The sequence below is a fragment of the Homo sapiens genome, chromosome 2 (assembly GCF_000001405.40).
Source record: "Homo sapiens chromosome 2, GRCh38.p14 Primary Assembly".
NCBI classification, from domain to species: domain Eukaryota; kingdom Metazoa; phylum Chordata; class Mammalia; order Primates; family Hominidae; genus Homo; species Homo sapiens.
The window spans coordinates 219,729,269-219,747,809 of NC_000002.12; the positions used below are offsets into that span (position 1 = coordinate 219,729,269).

Here is an 18,541-nt window from a genome sequence, read left to right on the forward strand (position 1 = left end):
CAAAATATGGTCAGGCTGACTGTGACCTCAAAACCTCTGCTCCTTTTGCTCATAAAAGATAGCAGAAGCAGAACATTCTGATTCAAGGATCATTTTGCGAAACTGCATTCTCTTAAACAGAATTGTTTCTTAATCTCTTCGTGGGCTGCTAATGGGCCGTTTATCAGGGTGTTCCAAGGCAAAGTGAATCCGGAAGAAATAGGGCTACTGACTTTGGGACGAGTCTCCCTGTGTTGCAGGTGGTTGGACAATGACTCAGTGACTTCCACTTTAAGCTAAATAAGATTCACTATTGTAAAGTCATAGACATGCATCCCAAAGCAAACGGAGGAATGAACATGCTCTCCATTTTCCTGACTGTTTTCTAGACATCATTTTAATTGTTGAAACTCTCCTTTTTCTCCTCTGGTTCCCATTCCAGGTTGTTTTCTGTAGTTATGTTAACCATAACATTTCCAATGACACAACTTCTCATTTTGTTCTTTGCATAGGGAGCAGGGAGGGGCACTAGGGTATGGCAGGGTGGAGGATGTGGTTTGGGGCATTGTCAAAAGGAGCACTTACCTGATGTGTGTATATATTATCTATTTAAGTGAGGTATAATTTACATACAGTAAAACCCACTCTTCTTAGAGTATACTTTTATGAGTTTTGACATGTAAATTCAGCTGTATGACTACCACCGAAATCAAGGTATAGAACAGGTCCGTCACTCTAAAGTGTTCTCTTCTGCTTCTTTGTTGTCAATTCCTCTCTTCTACCTCCAACCCCTGGCAACCTAGTGGCTCAGTTTCTTGTCTCCATGGTTCTGCCTTTTCCAGGAAGTCATATACAAGGAATCACACAATGTGTAGTCTTTTGAGTCTGGATTTACTCACTCAGCATAACGCATTTGAGGTTCATCCATGTGGTGGTATGTTTGTTGCTTTGTTGTTGTTGTATGTTTGTTGTCATTTGTTGTTTTGTGTTGCCGAGCAGGGTTCTGTTGTATACTGCAGTATGTTTTGCTCTTCACCAGTTAAAGGACATGGGGATTTTTTCCAGTTCTTGGCAATTATAAATAAAGCTGCTTTAAACATTCATATACAGGTTTTTGTGTGGCTCTATGCTTTCATTTCTTTCTTTTTTTTTTTTTTTGAGACAGAATCTTGCTCTGTCACCCAGGCTGGAGTGCAGTGGTGTGATGTCAGCTCACTGCAAGCTCTGCCTCCCAGGTTCACACCATTCTCCTGCCTCAGCCTCCCGAGTAGCTGGGACTACAGGTGCCCACTGCCATGCCTGGCTAATTTTTTGTATTTTTTAGTAGAGACGGGGTTTCACCGTGTTAGCCAGGATGGTCTTGATCTCCTGACCTCGTGATCTGCCCGCCTTGGCCTCCCAAAGTGCTGAGATTACAGGCATGAGCCACCGCGCCCGGCCATGTTTTCATTTCTTTTGAGTAAATATCTAGGAGTGGTATTGTTTGGTCATGTGGTAAGTTTATGTATAACTTTATAAGAACGTCATGTTTAATTTCACAAGAAATTTATTTATGTTTGTCTTTCTAAATAATATATGAATTTGATTTTGTTTTTAGTTTTTTACAAGGGTATCATGCTGAGGTAATCTTTTAGTAATTAACATTTTTTTCACTTAGAATCATGATGTTAAGATTTATCCATATTGTGACATAGTTTATTCATTCCTCTCTCTTCTTGATGGGCATTTGGTTGTTTCCAGGATTTTGTTATTGTTTTGTTTTACTACTGACAGTCTTATATATGTCTCTTGTATTAGTTATCTATGTCTGCATAAGAATATAACCCTTTTTTTTTTTTAAGTAGAGACAGGATTTCACCATGTTGGCCAGGCTGGTCTTGAACTCCTGACCTCAAGTGATCCACCCACTTCGGCCTCCCAAAGTGTTGGAATTACAGGTGTGAGCCACTGCACTTGGCCAATATAACCCAACACTTAGTTACTTAGATAACATACATTTGTTACCTCACAGTTTCTGTGAGTCAGGAGTCTGGGCAGGGCTTAGCTTGGTCCTCTGCTTCAAGTCCTCACAAGTCTGCAGTCAAAGTGTTGGCCAGGGCTGTGCTCTAATCTCAAGGCTTGACTGGGGAAGATTCACTTTCAAGTGCATGTGGTTGTTGGCAGGATTCGGGTTCTTGCAGTTTGCCAGGCCAGGGCTTCATTTTCTTGCTGGCTGTCGGCAGAGGGCACCCTCAGTTTCTTGTCATGTGGGCCTCCCCAGAGTGATCACCTGCTTCATTAAAACCGGCAAGGGAGAGGGTCTGCAGGCATGACAAACATTATATTCTTAGGTAAAATAATCACAAGACATATCATCCATCAACATGACCATATTCTCTTGGTTAGAAGCAATTCACCAGTCTTGCCCACAGTCAAAGGAAGGAGATTGCACGTATAAATACCAGAAGGAAGGGATAGTTGGTGATCATTTTAGATTCTATCTGCCTCAATTGCTACACATGTGTATGATTTTCTCTGTGCTTATACCTGGGAGCAAATTGCTGTGTCCAAGGGCATTCTTTTCTTAATAATGCTCTTTACTTAAAGGCTATGTTTTGTGGAATGAATATAGCTAGGTCAGCTTTCTTCTGATTAATATTTATGTACTATGTCTTTTTCCATTCTTTTGCTTTCAGTCTTTGCATATCTGTATGTTTGAGGTACGTTTTTTTGTAAATAGCATGTGTCAAAATTTTACAAATGAATCTAATCTGTCACACCTTATGTTTTAAGTGGTGAGCTCAATCCATCTACCTTTATTATAATAAATTACATACATGGACCAATTTTTATCATTCTGACTTGTTATTTCAGCTGTGCTACTTTTTCAATGCTTTCTTCTATTTTTCTTACTTTTATTTTTAATAATATATTTTTATCTCCCTAATTCTTCTTAATGAAGTAAAAATCTAAGATTCCTGGCTCCCTCCCCTGCCCTGTTATGTTGATATAACCTAGGCTTCTAATTCTGCGTTGTTACAGATATATTTTCTCCTTTTCATTGGTCTTAGCTTGCTTTTTGCTTTTTAAGCAATAAGAGTTTATCAAGGTGTTTGATCACCGTTGTTCCACAAATCTCTTGCAGTCTCCTGGATTTTTCTCTCTCATACATAGTACTTTAGCCAAAACAGTTTACAATGCACATCTTTCTGCAGCAAATCTTCTATGCCTGAGAATATTTTTATTTGACCTTAATATTTGAATGACAGTTTGGTTGACTATAAAATAATAGGTTCTAAATTCTATTTCCTTCAATTCTGTCAAAACGTTACTCCATTTTTTTTTTGCATCCAATATCGTTGATGCCAATCTGATTCTCGTTCTTTTGTATGTGGTCTCCTCTTTTTATGACAGCTTTTAGAACTTTTTTTTGTTTTATAAAAATCTTAAGTTTTATTATAGTATACCTAGGTATGAGTTTTTCCTTTATTTCTCTCTCATGTGTGTGTGTGTTTGTGTGTATTCTGCTCTCACTTTCTCTCTCTATAGATGTGGCAGAATAATTGATCTTTGTTATGTCCTCAAATCTTCTTCCCCTCTATTTTTTTTCTTTTTTAAATAGAACTCCTACTGTCTGGATGTTAGTACCTCTGCATCTGTTCTCCTTATCTCTTAGCTTTTCTTTTTATTAGTATATTGTCTATTTCCTTGTCCTTTTCATCTACCTTCTGATATATGTTTTTTCAATCTGATATACCAAATCACTAATTTGTTCTTCAGTAGCATCAATTCTGCTCTTTATTTGTATTTTTATATTTTTATTACTAGTATTTCTGCTTGATTCTCTTTATATATTTTTTTGCTTCTTATTAATTTTCCTTCTATCTTTTAATATATTTACCAGGATGATTAAAAATACTTGATCCATCTGTCCTAATATTTCTGCTTCTGTTGGAATTTGTCATCCAGGAGGCCCTCTTCCTTTAGAGATGTCTGTGCTCCTCAAATGTCCTGTTATTTTGTTTTGTGTGCTCATTTTTTCCCTAGGGCACTGACTCCACAGGCAGTACAAGTTGAGAAAGGCAGGTCCAGGCGTGTTAGCTCCAGTGAACTCAGGGGATGGGGCTAGATGAGCCCCAGGGTGGAGAGCTCTGAAAATTATATTCCGTTGCTCCTTATCTCACAAAATAAGCTTTTAGCTCAGGCCTTCATCTTTTGTCCCTCAGAGAGAAGCAGATTTGCAGGAGACAGTCAGAATTCAGTGGTTTTAAATCTTGGCTGCACATTCAAATGACCTGGGAAGCCTCTACAAATCTGGATGCCTGGGTCATGCTCCAGAGCAATTTCAATGGAATCTCTAGAGGTGGAATCCAAGTACTTTCAAGCTCCCCACATGATTTGTATCTTCAGCCAAGTTTGAGGCCCACCATCAAGACCAGATTGTCACTTTCCAGCCCTGGGAGTTTGAAGGGGAAGAGACATAGAAATAACTTCCAGATTATTTCTTCTGAGGATCCTCAGTTTCTTCTGAGGATATCTGAGCTTGGCAGGTGAGGTGCAGGCACTGTTTGCCCCAAGGAGATATGGGGTTGGTGAGAGCAGAATTCCACCAGTTTTTCTATTTTCTCTTCCCACAACCCTGCTGGGCTGCTTCCTGCCTTGGGACAAAGCCACCACTTCACAACCTCATTTGAAATAACATCCCCAGTCAACTCAAGAGCTTCTCACAGTGTTCTCTTCTTTACTTTTCTGGCTCCTGTGGGGTTAATAGGGGTGAGAGGTGGGATGGACATCCAGCAGCCTCGCTAGTTCAGCATCTTGGCCTGAACTGGAGCTACTTAGGGTATGATGAAGGGACCGGAAGCATCAGCATCTCTTAACAGCTTGCTAGAGATGCAGAATCCCAGGCCCCACCCTGAGCCTACAGAGGCAAAATCTGCATTGAATAAGATTGCCAAGAGATTCCCGAGCACATGAAAGTTTGATAAGCACTTCTTTACATAGCATAGATGCTGAACAAATATATTTAAATTGAATCAAGCACCTTTTTGACCACTACCTCAGAGTTTGCTCGGTCATGTTGTTCCTATAAAATGTTGATTTTAGTTCTTTGATTTGAGCTATTTCTGCCCTAGGCCAGAATTCAACAATGCTGGATTTTCCCACTATGCAGATGGATTTTAAAAACACAATTCTTTAAGAAAAACAATGCTCCCGTAGCACCATCTACCTCTCAGTGGTAGCACTCATCACTATTGTAATTTTATATTTAAAATTGTGGATGGTTGATTGATGTCTGGCATGATATTATAAGCTCCAGAAGGACCAGAAGGAAATCTGACTTTATTAGAGTTGTCTCCCTAATGCCCGGCGCAGTGCATGGCATACAGCAGGTGCTTAATATTAATCAAATGAGAGAAATGACTTAGGCCTTTGTAGTGACTTACTTAACTGATGGTTGTCTATCGAATGCTAATATGAATGATTACACCTGTAAGGTCACCTTTTTCTAAGAAATACATATGGTTTCAGGAATATGTTTCTTCCATCTTTACTGTTTCTTGTCATTAATATTAGATACAATTACTTGAATTTTTAGGGTCTTATGTTAATTTTTTAAAAACTCGATGCATACTGGCATTTAAATAAATATGAACATTTAGAATTGATTAATTTCTTAATTCATTGTCTACTTTTTTAATAAAACAAAAGGAAGCAAAAACATTGCCTTCAAGGAAGAATACATCTCCTTGATATTCTGAGGAAAGAATGAATACGTTTATGATATTAGAGGAAAAAGCAAGGGAGTGAAGAGGTCATGGCAAGTGCTGGGAATGAGTCCTGTTTGACCTGTTTTCACTCCTATTCTTTTCTCCTCCCCACCCACCCCAGTTTAGGCCCAGGCAGGAACCCAACCAATAAACGTTAAATCTACTCTTTCCCCTTTCTCTGTCCTCTCTGCCCAATTTCCAAAAAGGTGTTGACGATGAAATAGTCTGTTGTGTCATCAGGCTGAGGGAAGTGGGAAGGAAGCGTGCACTAGCTTAAGCAAAGCATCTGACAAAGATACAATTCTTTTATTATGTAGGACATATAAACAGGTATTTAAAGAAACACTCTATTTAAGTTGATTTATTAAATTTTTTTGGTAAAGATAGAGCATGGGTTCCATTACAGTGGATACTGATGTCTTTTATAGTCATGACTCCCAAAGGACATACGGTTTCCCAAAAGTGTAATCCAGCTTCTATAACTCTGAATGATATTCCAAGTCTGCTTTCCTGTGTGTCCCCTCTTCACTCCCTCCCTTGATGAGCCTAATTACACACACAGAAGAATTACATGTGCACCAGCATCACACAATTAAAAAGCTAGATTTAAAAGGATCTTGCCCAGCTTTTCTATGGAAAACTTGAAATTAGGTATTTTGCTTTAAACTTGGCAAAGCTAAAGACCAAAGTGATGTCTAGAATCAGGGAAAGTCTGACTAATAACTGAATGCTGTTGGAGGGCCAGTGGCACAACACATGTTTTTTGCTCGTCAAAAGGCGATGAAAGACACGCAAAGGAGTGAAATCAAGCAATGTAATGAGAACGACAAAGAAGTGATTTTGTTCTGAGCATTGCTGAGTTTTAAAGCGATGTAATGTATTTCCCATTCTTCATAAAACATTCAATTGTAAAATGTAGAGATTGTTTGAAAGTGTTTTTAATATTTTAATTCCTAAAATGTGGATTTATCCAACGAATACTTGTAGACCTTAATGAGACATTTGGGGGCTGGACTTTCATTTATTCTAAGTAGTTCTCATATTTAAAAAGCAGTTGCAGATTCTTCATTTCATTAGTGAAATATCAAAAAAGAAAAAGGAAAATAAAGCAAATTATTCAGTTCCAAATGAAAGCATTTCTTCATTTTTTTCTAGAGAATGATTATTAAACACTATAAAACCTAGTCGAATCTCATTTCTACACATCATTAAAGAGTTCATGTGCCAAACAAACAATGACCTTTTGTTGATGAGATTGTAGAAATTATTAGTGGGGAAAAATGATCATTTGTTCCTGGAGGACATTGTTACATTTCTACCTCCTCCCACTTTATTCACTTTTTTCTTCACAGAGTTGGAGAAAATAATGAGATACAAACTCATTTCCCCAGCAGAGGTCACCCTTTCTCCTTTATCGTTCCCAATAAATGCCTTCTTAGTTGTGGTTCCTTAGTCCAAGGAAATGCAGGAGTTTTCAGCTTGAAGCACAGCCAGAGGGCTGGTGGAAACATATGCATCATTCACACCCTCTGTGTCTTCTTACGTATGCACTGTTTAAACGTATTACCCTACCTGGACTCTTAAATGGATAACTCACATACATATAATAAGAACCACTAGGTTATGTATTGATAATCCTATCTTTTAGTTAATCCACTTCATCAAGCATTAGTTTAATGCTTGCCAGTGCTGGCTCAAATTCTACCCAATTCTCTGCCCCATGGGCCAAAAAATAGGTTTTCATAACACCCTGGAAGTGACTGGCATAAGCCTTTAGAGAGAATCCCCTGGTGAATTTCTGCAGGGGAGAAAGACAAAAATGTATGGAACATTGGCCAAGTGGAGAGCTCAGGGCTGGGTACTGAAGGGTAAGCTAGGGAGGTATAAGCCCCAGTCTCAGCTTTTGCATTTGGTTTGGTTTTGGAAACAAAAATGTATGTTTGTATTTTATTTGAGACACACTGGATCACAGAATGAAGTTCTAAATGAATTATACGTGAGTGTGCAGAGTATAGGTCAGTCAAGAGGTGTCATCTACAGAAGGTCAGGGGTAGATGGGTGATGGAATTGCTCGGGTCCTGTTGCTATCTGCTGGGGAAAAGCATTCAGCACGTGTCTGGCCAAATCCAAACATGGATTTTGGAAACTCCTTTTCTCTTCCTCACTTTATGGAGGAAACCATTGGCATTTTCTTGGGGTCCCTGGGGAAGTGGGGCTCATTGGTTTTACAATGGTTAGTGAAGATCTTTTCTAAATAAAATTCCCTTCCTTCCCTTTGTTTTCTTTATTCTGTAAACTAAAGTTCTTGTGGACATGTTGGAAGTTTAAGACTGCGGTGGATTTGGGGTATTCTCTGTGGCTGCTGCTCTTCCCTTGGACTGCAGATGGCACAATCACAGTGTGCAGGGGATAAGGTAGTGCATCCCAAAGAACAGAAATGTGCTTCTCCCTTCCAGGAAGTGGGACAGCTGGATGACCATGACATTGGACCTCCAGTAGTGCTCGTGAAGCGATGCATCTTGGAAAGGAGGATCTGCCTGCGTTCCTGACATCACCCTTGGGATTTCTCCTCTGCTCTCCAGGCCTCTGGCTCTCCCTGCTGGTTCTGTGCTGGGTCACCTGCCACTGCTCAGCCTGCATGCCCTGCAGAAGTTGGCTGGAGCCAGCTGGTGGTGACTTGCCAGAGACTCTGGTTAAATAGGAATTTTGCAAGCTGGTTGTTAAACCATTGGTAGCTTGAAATCAGCCTTGGTGGGAGTATTTATAACCCAGAAATTGGCAAATACTACAAATCAAGTCTTGCCTCCAGCAGCTTACCAGTAGTCCACAGCTTACCTGCTCCTCTTAGTACCAATGAAAACACCTACATCACCTCGTTTTAATAGCGACAAACTTGAGAATTTTTGATACAAATATTTACTAGGAAAAAAAGAAAAGAAATAGCTTCACTTCTCCTCCTTCAAAAGCTTTGGAACAGAAGTCCTTTATCAAGTACAGATTTCTACTCTTAATGTTAACCAGAGGTTTGTTCAAAACAGGCAAGTTGTCCCAGCTTTTGGGGGCAGTTCAATTCCTTTCCCTAAGCCCATGCTTAGCTGAGATATTTACCCCCAAATTTCCTTTTAAAATTCCCTCATTTTCCCCATCCCAGCACCTCCAGCTTCCTGAAGGCAGCTGTCTCCTGACACCATCCCTAGTGTAAGGCATCAGTCTCTTCTTTGGTTCTTTTTGACTCGAGAAGCCATTCCAGGCCAGGTGCGGTGGTTCACACCTGTAATCCCAGCACTTTGGGAGGCCGAGGCAGGCCGATCACTTGAGCCCAGGAGTTCGAGACCAACCTGGCCAACATGGTGAAACCCCATCTCTACTAAAAATAGAAAAATTACTTGGGTGTAGTGGTGTATGCTTTTAATCCCAGCTACTGGGCAGGTTGAGACATGAGAATCACTTGAACCCAGGAGGTGGGTGTTGCAGTAAGCCGAGATTGCGCCACTGCACTCCAGCCTAGACAAAAGAGTGAGACTGTCTACAAAGAAAAAAAAAAAATCCCTTCCTGGTGTACAGGGGCACACTGCCTGCCCCTGTTGGGTTTGTTTGTGAGGGACAATGGCTGTTTCCCATTTCTCTACAGCATCATCCTCTTATTTCTTGACAGGTCGAATCTGGACCCCTTAGCCGAGCGTGGTGGTGGGTGCCTGTAATCCCAGCTATCTGGGAGGAGGCTGAGGCAAGAAACTCACTTGAACCTGGGAGGCAGAGGTTGCAGTGAGCCAAGATGGCACCACTGCACTCCAGCCTGGGTGATAGAGTGAGACTCCAAGAAAAAAAAAAAAGGATGGCTGAGTAGGCCTGGAGGTGGTATGTTCAAAAAAAGGACATGGATTCTGGAACCAATGGGTCAGAGTGTTGTGAGGAGATTGCCGGACTCCTGACGGGGATGCTGCCGTGTTTTCTGCCGGTAAACCCAGTGCCTTACATTAATGACTTTATTTAACTTTAATTACCTTCCTAAAGGCCCAGTATCCAAATGCTGCCCCTCTGGAGATTACAGCTTCAACACATGAATGGTGTGTGTGTGTGGGGGGGGTGCGGTTACACATTTCAGCCCATCACAAATGGGACAGATTCTGTTTAAAAAATATTTACAAAAAAAGAAATCTCCCAATCTCCTCTAATTCTCTCTTTCAGTTTCAACAACTCTCCTTTAGGAAAGTCTTCCACGTGGTCTAAATTCTGCTCCATGCATGGTGACTCCAGTTTTTCTTCTGGCTTCAGTGAGGAAGGCGGAGAGCTAATTCCAGTTCTGCATATCTGTGGTTTCCTTCTGTGTAGCTACACGTATCCCTCTAAGTCTCCCCACTCAAAATTAATTTTTATTCATTCAAGTTTATAAACATGTGCAGTAATTTAAGGAGAGTTTCATGTAGCCAAATCAAACAAAATGTGATGGGGCTTTACAACTTTAAAAAGTGAGAACTTTTATTCCTAAATACACTCGTAAGACAATGGGTATGCAAATCACCATTACGTTACCCCTTATCCTTTTCTTCTTTTCCAACCAATTCCTCTTCCAATTCCTATTTCTTTCCCTAGTTGTGGGAGGGCATAAAATAAATCAGGGTGGAAGTCAGATAGCATGACTATTTGTTTTCTCCCTCTTCCTATCTAGTTTTTTTTTTTTTTTCTCCATAAATTTAGGTTTCTGCCTTTCTCTTGGTGGGAGAGTTCTTGTGTTTGCCAGAGGTCTTTGCTCTGGACTCAGGCTGCTGGGGAGTAGTGAGGGGAGCTGGTACATGTTAGTGAAAGGGTGGCATTGGAAAAAGAAGTCCAAGGCTGAGTACATGTGACTCTTCTGTGTATATTTGCATTTAACAGGAAACTTCTGGAAGTAAGATGCCTGAATGCAAAGAATCGAAGTGCCTGTGATGAGGATTTTAGGCAGGTCTGTGAGCGAGATAGTTGGAGGGTGTGCGGGGACTCCCTTTCAACCACACCATCTAGACAAGCATCTGCCTCTTTGCCATCCATCTCAGAGTGGCCCAGAGAGCTGGGGGCCAGGGAGGAGGCAGGGCTGGGACTCAGCCGTGGAGAAGTGTTGGGGCCGTGACTGTGTTCATGACACACACGTCCCCTCATCTCCGTGTGGTTATATCTGGACTGGGGGTTACTCTGCCCACATGAAGCCTCAGGTGCACAGGCTTGAAAGGAACTGGGCCTGGGCCATGCCAGGGGCGGGGCTGGCAGTTGGCAACCCTGGGCAGTAGCCACCCTTCCCCCAGCGGAATCCTGAATCTCAGGACTTCAGAGGTGGGAGGCACCTTACAAGTGCAGCGAGTGCAAGTCTTTCGTTTCGCAGAGGAAGTCACTGAGGCCCTGGGGGCTCCACCCTCTTTCTGGGCTTGTCAGAGGCATTTAAGAAATACACGTTGACTTGACATGACCCATGTGAAACGGGCGTAACGAGACTCCCTGCATGGCTGCTGGATTAGGCTGCCAGCAGCTGGGAATGATTCTCCCTCTGTGGGTCTGAGCCTAAATGGTGGGCGCAGCAGAGGGGCACCCGGGTAGCTTTTTCAGGCTTGGGATGGGACAAGGTGAGCAGAGATTGAAAGCCTCCTTTCACAAATAAACTTGAGTTTAACAGAATGTCAGGGCTGGAAGGGACCTTACAAATCATTAGGATCAACCTGCCCTGAGGTTACAGATGAATAAACTGAGGCCCAGAGATGGGAGGTGATCGGGCTGGTGAGTTGTTGGTTGACCTGGGCCTTGAACCCAGCAAGCAGCTTCCAAATTTATGCTCTCCCTGCTGTGCCATGGGGCCTCTCTTGGCAGCAAGTTGCAAACCTGAGATTGATTGAATTGTTTGGATTCAGGGAGCATGTGAAGCATAAAGAAAATGAGGAGCAGGGAGGGATGCAAGCTGGATGTGATGAGACACAGCCTGGTTTTCCTTTATGCCGCCATTTTGTGACTTGAAGTGGAGCGAGAATTATTGTCCCACCAGTGAGACAGAACCATATAAATTAAAACTGCAATGAACTGTCTGCTGAAGGTGTGAACAAGGCAGATAAATCCCTGGGAGCTTAGAAAACATCTGCTCCTTACCTTGAAGGCAGAAACTTCACCGTAAAGCAGAAAAATCCAGGACTGGAATCTTTCACTTTCTCTGACGGGATATGTGAAGGCTGGGCCCCACCTTCAGATATACTCCACATGGAGGGCGACTGTGAACAATCAGCTAAGGCTTCTCCCTTTCTCCTTGATGACTCTTGAATTCTCCTACTTTTTCCCTGCCTATCTCAGTTCTTCAGTGCCCTTGTGCCATTATGCATGCATAGAGGGTAGTCTTGAGCTGGTCAAGGTACTTCCTGCTGAGCTCCAGTGATGGGGAGTTAAATCAGGGGGAAGAATGACAAGAAGGCTGCCAGGAGGAATCAGGAGTTGGGGCAGGTCACCAAGGCTGGGTCAGAATCCCTGGTTGGTAGGAGGGGGTTTGGGGGACTGGCAATTGAGAAGAGGCAGAGAGCAACCAAGAATTGAGGTCAAGAGTCCAGGCCATCAAATTGGACTGTTAGTCTGAAATCAGGAATCTTGAACTCAGAGGAATATGAAGAAGCACCCAGATTTATGCCTAACATGTGAAACAGACTTCTGGTAAGAGGAAATGGCCTTAAACACAAGGTTGGCAAATAGGTGGCATTTTGCTTGTGATCCCAAGTGAGGGGTGGTGGCTGCGTGAAGCGTGGTATCCAGCGTGGAGGATCAGAATTTTTCACTGGATTAAAGGGTGCTGTGATCCACTGATGATGTCTGCTTGGACAGGACAAGGCAGAGTCCATATTCTAATATTCCTTATTCCACCTAACCCTGGTTTGTAGCTTATGGCTGTGTGCCCTGTCTACCCATAATCTCTCAGTGTTCTGAACAGGTGCTATGCTTCCCTGCCTGTTCACATCATGGAGCTGCCTTAGAGATGAGCAACCTCCTTTAATTTACTCTCTGGGGTAGAGTCTAAGACTTGTTTTCTTTATACAATACTGTGTTCAGTAGGAAGAGTATTATGTGTATGAAATCCCTTAAACAGGAAATAATAGGTAGTTTCAAAACCTAGAGGCTGTGTTGAACATGGACTATTGTTTTTGTTCCTGTTGCCATGAGGTCCCATCTCTCATGCTGTATCAGAGGAGAGTGAGCATCATTAGGGAGGATGCAAGGTGGTCTATGCCAGGCTGCTTGCTCCAGCCTGATGGACTCTTACTTTTCCAGACTAATAAAAAGCAAACATTTAATGAACTGTTGCTAAGTGAAATGAGCTTTCCTAGGCACAGCAGACCATCATGAGTCCCTTCCCATAAGGGGCTTCTTTTTTTTTTTTTTTTTTTTTTGACAGAGTCTTGCTCTGTCGCCCAGGCTGGAGTGCAACGGCGCGATCTTGGCTCACTGCAACCTCCACCTCGTGGGTTCGAGCAATTCTCCTGCCTCAGCCTCCCGAGCAGCTGGGACTACCGGTGTATGCCATCACGCCCAGCTAATTTTTGTATTTTCAGTAGAGACGGGGTTTCACCACATTGGCCAGGCTGGTCTCAAACTCCTGACCTCACAATCCACCCACTTTGGCCTCCCAAAGTGCTGGGATTACAGGCGTGAGCCACTGTACCTGGCCGAGGGGCTTCTACTCCAGGGAGTGCACATGGCATTTGGATGAGGGAGGAAGGGTCACAGTAATTGTTTAGCTCTTAAGTGATCCTTAAGTGGCTGGTGAGAAGGACCAGTGTAATGGACAGTTTAGTTCTTTTGGTCATATACGCGTGGACACAGTTGTACTTAGTTACGGTGGGGGATAAGGGAGGGAAAATCCATATTTCTTCCCCTTACAGATAAATGTGTTCCATTTTATCTGCACACATGAGATTGATCAGAGTTGCAGCTTTGAACTTTTTGATATCTCTCTAGGGCCAGGTGTGAAAATCTATTCATCCAGGAAACAGTATGTGTCAAGGTGAGCACCTGGGAGTTAGGAAGTCCGGATGGGACTTGGGAGTTCTCTAATTGCTTCACAGAATCACAGAATGATGTTGGGCAAATAACTTGATCTCTTTGAGCTTCAGCTTTTTTTTTTTTTTTAATCTATAAGGTAGGGTAATAATGCCTACTTTACCATCTAATAGGATTAAGAAATATTGACATGTGTGAATGTGTTTTGTAAATTTTAAAGTACTATAAAAATGCCAGGGTTTATTACTATGACATTAAACATGAATAATTCTTAGGTATATATGCATACTTATTATATTAAATTTGAAAAATAGGGCCTCTTTTGAATGGGATATTCACTCCATATTCTATTCACCAACCTAGAATCCACAGTAGCCTTGTCTTCTTTCCATTTTTGATATGACAAGATCCCAGTCTATCACTTGCAAAAACCCATGAGCTGTTTTAGCGAAGGTAGAGAATTTTTTCCCTCACCCTCCGCAGGCTGGTTGCTCCCAGGGGAGAAGGAGCTTGCATTTTAAATGGGTGAATGACCAAGTGAGGGGTGCAGTCTTGGACTGAAAACCCCAGCAGAGCTAACTGACCCACAGAAGCCTTGATTTCTTGGTTAGCTCATGTAAGCCACTTGGGCCGACTGGCTCAAGGAATGGGCAGGTAATTCCAGACAAGAAGTGAGACAAGCTATTTGGAGCTTGCTTTATGCCAGCACTCAACTCTATTCCCTGCAGCTTTGCCAGGACTCAGTTTTTGTCACTAGCATACACTAGATTAGTAAGTTTCACTGCAACTTATTTTTAGCTCATTTGGGCAGAAGAAGGCATTGTCCCAACTGAGTTCAAGGCTCTGCAATTTGGAGCAAGTGCACTTTGAGCTCAGAAGATCAAATGCTGTGCTGGCAACTTGTTTTAGTGTTCAATTCCTATAGTTAGTAGGAAAGAAGATTTCAAATGTCATTTGCTGTAATGATTAGCTCCAGTGAGGGATTCTATCTACAATTATTTGCTTCAAAGCTTTAGTTGGCTGAAGCCTGTATATTTGATCATTAACAAAATAGTCTCCTCTTTTCTACCATGTTAATAATCTTGTTTAATAGAAATGCAGCTTTGATTTCTTCCTGAGCTAGGTTGCTATTATTCTGGCATGGAGAAGTGTTGGTTTAAGATTTTGCCACATCTGAGACATGGTAAAATTCCATTTTGGAAAGCTCTGAGCTTGGAGTTGCTCAAAAAGATGAGACTGGAAAGAATATTCTTGGCACAGCTGTGGGAAGCAGTTTGTTTAAATCAGAGCAAACCAAAGAAGTTGGCTCATGTGGAAACTTTATACCTGTTCCACATGTTTTAGACACTTCTGAAAAAACAAACAGCTCCATACTTGCAATTGTAGGGTCAAAAAGTCACATGTCGGCCCCAGTGCCAATTTAGCTAACTGAGTCCTCAAGCAGTCGGCACTGATGTTGTTAAATAAGAGTATGTTGTGGCCGCTTAACCAATCTCCACACCTGGAAAAAATAAAAATTAAAACAGGAAAGAAAGCAAAGTGAATTTGAAACTGGAGAGCAGGCTACAGTGACAATGTTCAGATTCTGAGCTCCTAAGCTGTCTCTACATTCCAGACTCGGAGGAATATTTGAAAAGCATGCATCTTTATGGGCAGAATCTCCCTAATCCATATCTCAGGGGCAAGATTAACACTGTGCAATACCCCACATGGACCTGGATTTCTGGAAATATGTTCTCATGAAAAGTGTCCCATTGACCGTGTCATCTTTTTCTTCCTCTTCTGTCTTAAGCCAGCTGGTTTATCTCCTGAAATTCAATACACTCCCCCTCTTTTTTCAGTTACATCAGTGCACAAAAGAGGCTCATGAAAAGAAACAGCTGCACCGATACCAGCAGGAGCTGCTGCAGCTACAGATTTTAGGCATGCACCTGCATGGAGTTGGGTGACTGGAGATTTTTCAGGGAAGCGAATATCATGAAACATCAGGACTCTAAAGCCAGATGAATGGATGGCTCCGGGGGTGGCAAACAGGATACCCCACTGCTCACCTGGAGGTCACAGGATCACACCTGACTTGAATTAGTCAAAAGAATTCCAGGATGAGGGCTAGTTGGTGGTTTATGAATGAAATGATTAGCTGGCTATAACAGTTCCTAATAAACAGATTGTCCATGTCAATGACATCTATTCATTGAGCTGCGAGCAAGTGGCATCTCTGTAGCCCTCATGGCAGAAGAGGGCAGGATTGATGAGACTTAAAAGCATCCTGTTAAGATTTTGCATAGAAGTGAGTGTGCTGGAAGCCACCGGAGGTTTTGAGCAGAGGGGTGACTTGATCTGATGTGTTTTAATAGATTTACTCTGACTGCTGTGTTGAGGATAGACAGTAAGGGAGCAAGGTAACATAATCAAAGTAAAAAAATGATGGTGACTTAGAGTATGGGAGTATTGCTGAAGGTAGTGAGAAGTTGTTGGATTCTGGTTATATTTTGAAGACAGAGCCAAATAGAATGTTCTGATTAGAATCAGAGTGTGAAAGAAAGGAGGAAAGAATGCATTTGAGGTTTGGGGCTTGAGCAGCAGGAAGGGCTGAGTTTCCAGCAGTTGGGTTGGGAAAGGCTTTACAGAGGAACAGATTTTGGGGTGGAGAGTATCAGGATGTTTACACAGGTTGGGAAGGATGAGAAGACATTGGATATATGAGTCTGGAGTTGAGACAGAGGTTCTAGCTGGAGATAGAAATTTGAGAATCATCAGTGGACATATGGAATTTAAAACCAAGGAACTGGATGAGAACACCAGGGGAGTGGGGAATGCAGTGAAGACCCAAATGCTGAGCCATGGGCCCTCCAGAATGAGGAGGTTGGGGAGATCAGGAGGCTCTAATATGGACTCAGGAGGAGTCCATAAATGAGAATGAGAAGGAATGGCCATGAGATAAGAAGGAAAGCTGGAAGAGTATGGTAGCCTGAAAACCAAGTGATGCAAGCGTTTCAAGGAGAAGGAAGAGAGCAACCATGTCCAGTGATATATAGGATGAACACGGAGCATTAGGAGTTGGTTGTAGCTGTGTGGATGTTTCTGGTGACTTTGCCAAGAGTAATTCTGGTGGAGTGATGGGGGTAATCACCTGACTGAAGGGAATATAAAAGAGAAATGAGAAAAGAGGATTTGGCAAAGCAGTATTGACAACTCTTGCAAGGAGTTTTATCATATGGGGGAGCAGACAAATGGAGTGGTAATTGGAGGGAAAGTAGAGTGAGAAAAGGTTTGTTTTTGTTTTAGGTGGGAGAAATAACTTGCCAAGGGGAATAATCTGCTAGAGCAGGAAAATTTTGATAATGTAAGAGAGGAGGAAGGTTGCTGGGGTCATGTCCTTGAGTGGGAGCAGGTGGAATCCAGTGTATAGGTGAAGAGGCCGACCTTCTTCAGCAGCAAGGATGGTCTCTCCATAGGAAGGGGGGAAGATAGAGTCGATGGGAACAGATGCTGGTGGGTGGCAGAAGTGGGGTGGGAGACTGTGGCAGTTCTTTTCTAAGAACTTCTATCTTCTCAGTGAGGTAGGAAGCCAGGTGAGGTGCTGAGAGAGAGAATGGGAGAAGAGGACCTGGAGGATGGGAGATGGTGGTTGTCTTGGAAGGTAGCAGGCCCAGGATGAAGTACAATGACCAGCATATGGACCCAGTCAAGATCATGGAAGCAAATTACAGGAAGACCAGTGGGTGTGGTTGTATGACTTCAGCCATGTTCAGTTGTGGGTGCAGGTACATAGTGGGTGGAGACTTGGATTTCAGGGGTTGCTAATGTAGCTCTACAAAACAGGGGAGGAGCACCCTGAAGATTTCTTCTTCATAGACACATTTTGTTTTCATTTTCTCAGGACAAAAATATTGGTTATGGACTTACTAAACTACTTAAACTTAATGAGTTGTGACTCACAGTTTGGAAGTCACTGGTCTAAATGGTATAGTCATTTTTCTTTCCTCTTAGCTTCTTAATGTAGAAATAACCTCAGTGCAGATTTCCCTGAAAATCCATCAGGCATTTGTTGAGTGCCCACAATGTGCCTGGCACTGTTTTCAGTGCTGTGAGGGGAGGCAGAAGAGAGCTAAGGTACAGCTCCTGCCTTCAGGGTGATGAATTGGTGGGGACCTGAGTTAGGCACAAACTTGAGAGTCCTATCTCATGGCACCTGGGACAGACTTTACTACTCAAAGATGGCACCACCCTAAGGTACTCTATTACCCGAAAGGATGCCAAGGGCCCAAACACCACAGATGTCCACCCTAATGTCAGTCTTAGAATACCTGTTCTGTACATGTGGCCAGATCACTTGAGCAAAGACTGTTATCTCCTTTAAGTCAAGAGGTAAACTCTATTAATGCATACTAAGATGGTATTGACCTTTTAGGGAACCTTGTCAAATTGTTGGCTTACACTGAATTTGTGGCCAAACTCTATCCTATGAGACATTAAAAAAAATCCTCTGGTCTCATCAATTCTTTATTTATACAGTATTCTGTAGGTATCCTTGGGGGATTGGTTCCAGGAGCCCCCTTAGATATCAAAATCCACAGGTGCTCAAGTCCCTTATATAAAATGGCCTAGTATTTGCATATAACCTACACACATCCTCCTGTATACTTTAAACCATCTCTAGGTTACTTACAATACCTGATACAATGTAAATGCTATACACATAATTGTTATACTATATTGTTGTTTTGTATTTTTTTATTGTTGTATTGTCATTTTTTATTTTTTCCAAATATTTTCAATCCACAATTAGTTGAATCCACTATTATGGGAAC

The 18,541-nt window shown here is 42.2% G+C and overlaps 2 long non-coding RNA genes across 2 annotated transcripts; both read left to right on the forward strand.

Annotated features, from left to right (window-relative positions):
- Positions 1–724: 724 nt before the first annotated feature.
- LINC02832 (long intergenic non-protein coding RNA 2832) lies at positions 725–8,660 on the forward strand. The gene is made up of 2 exons (NR_185880.1): positions 725–913; positions 8,186–8,660. It is a non-coding gene; the product is annotated as a long intergenic non-protein coding RNA 2832 (long non-coding RNA).
- Positions 8,661–9,530: 870 nt separating this feature from the next.
- On the forward strand, positions 9,531–15,908 carry LOC105373887 (uncharacterized). The gene is made up of 3 exons (XR_923923.2): positions 9,531–9,687; positions 13,686–13,731; positions 15,569–15,908. It is a non-coding gene; the product is annotated as an uncharacterized LOC105373887 (long non-coding RNA).
- Positions 15,909–18,541: the final 2,633 nt, after the last annotated feature.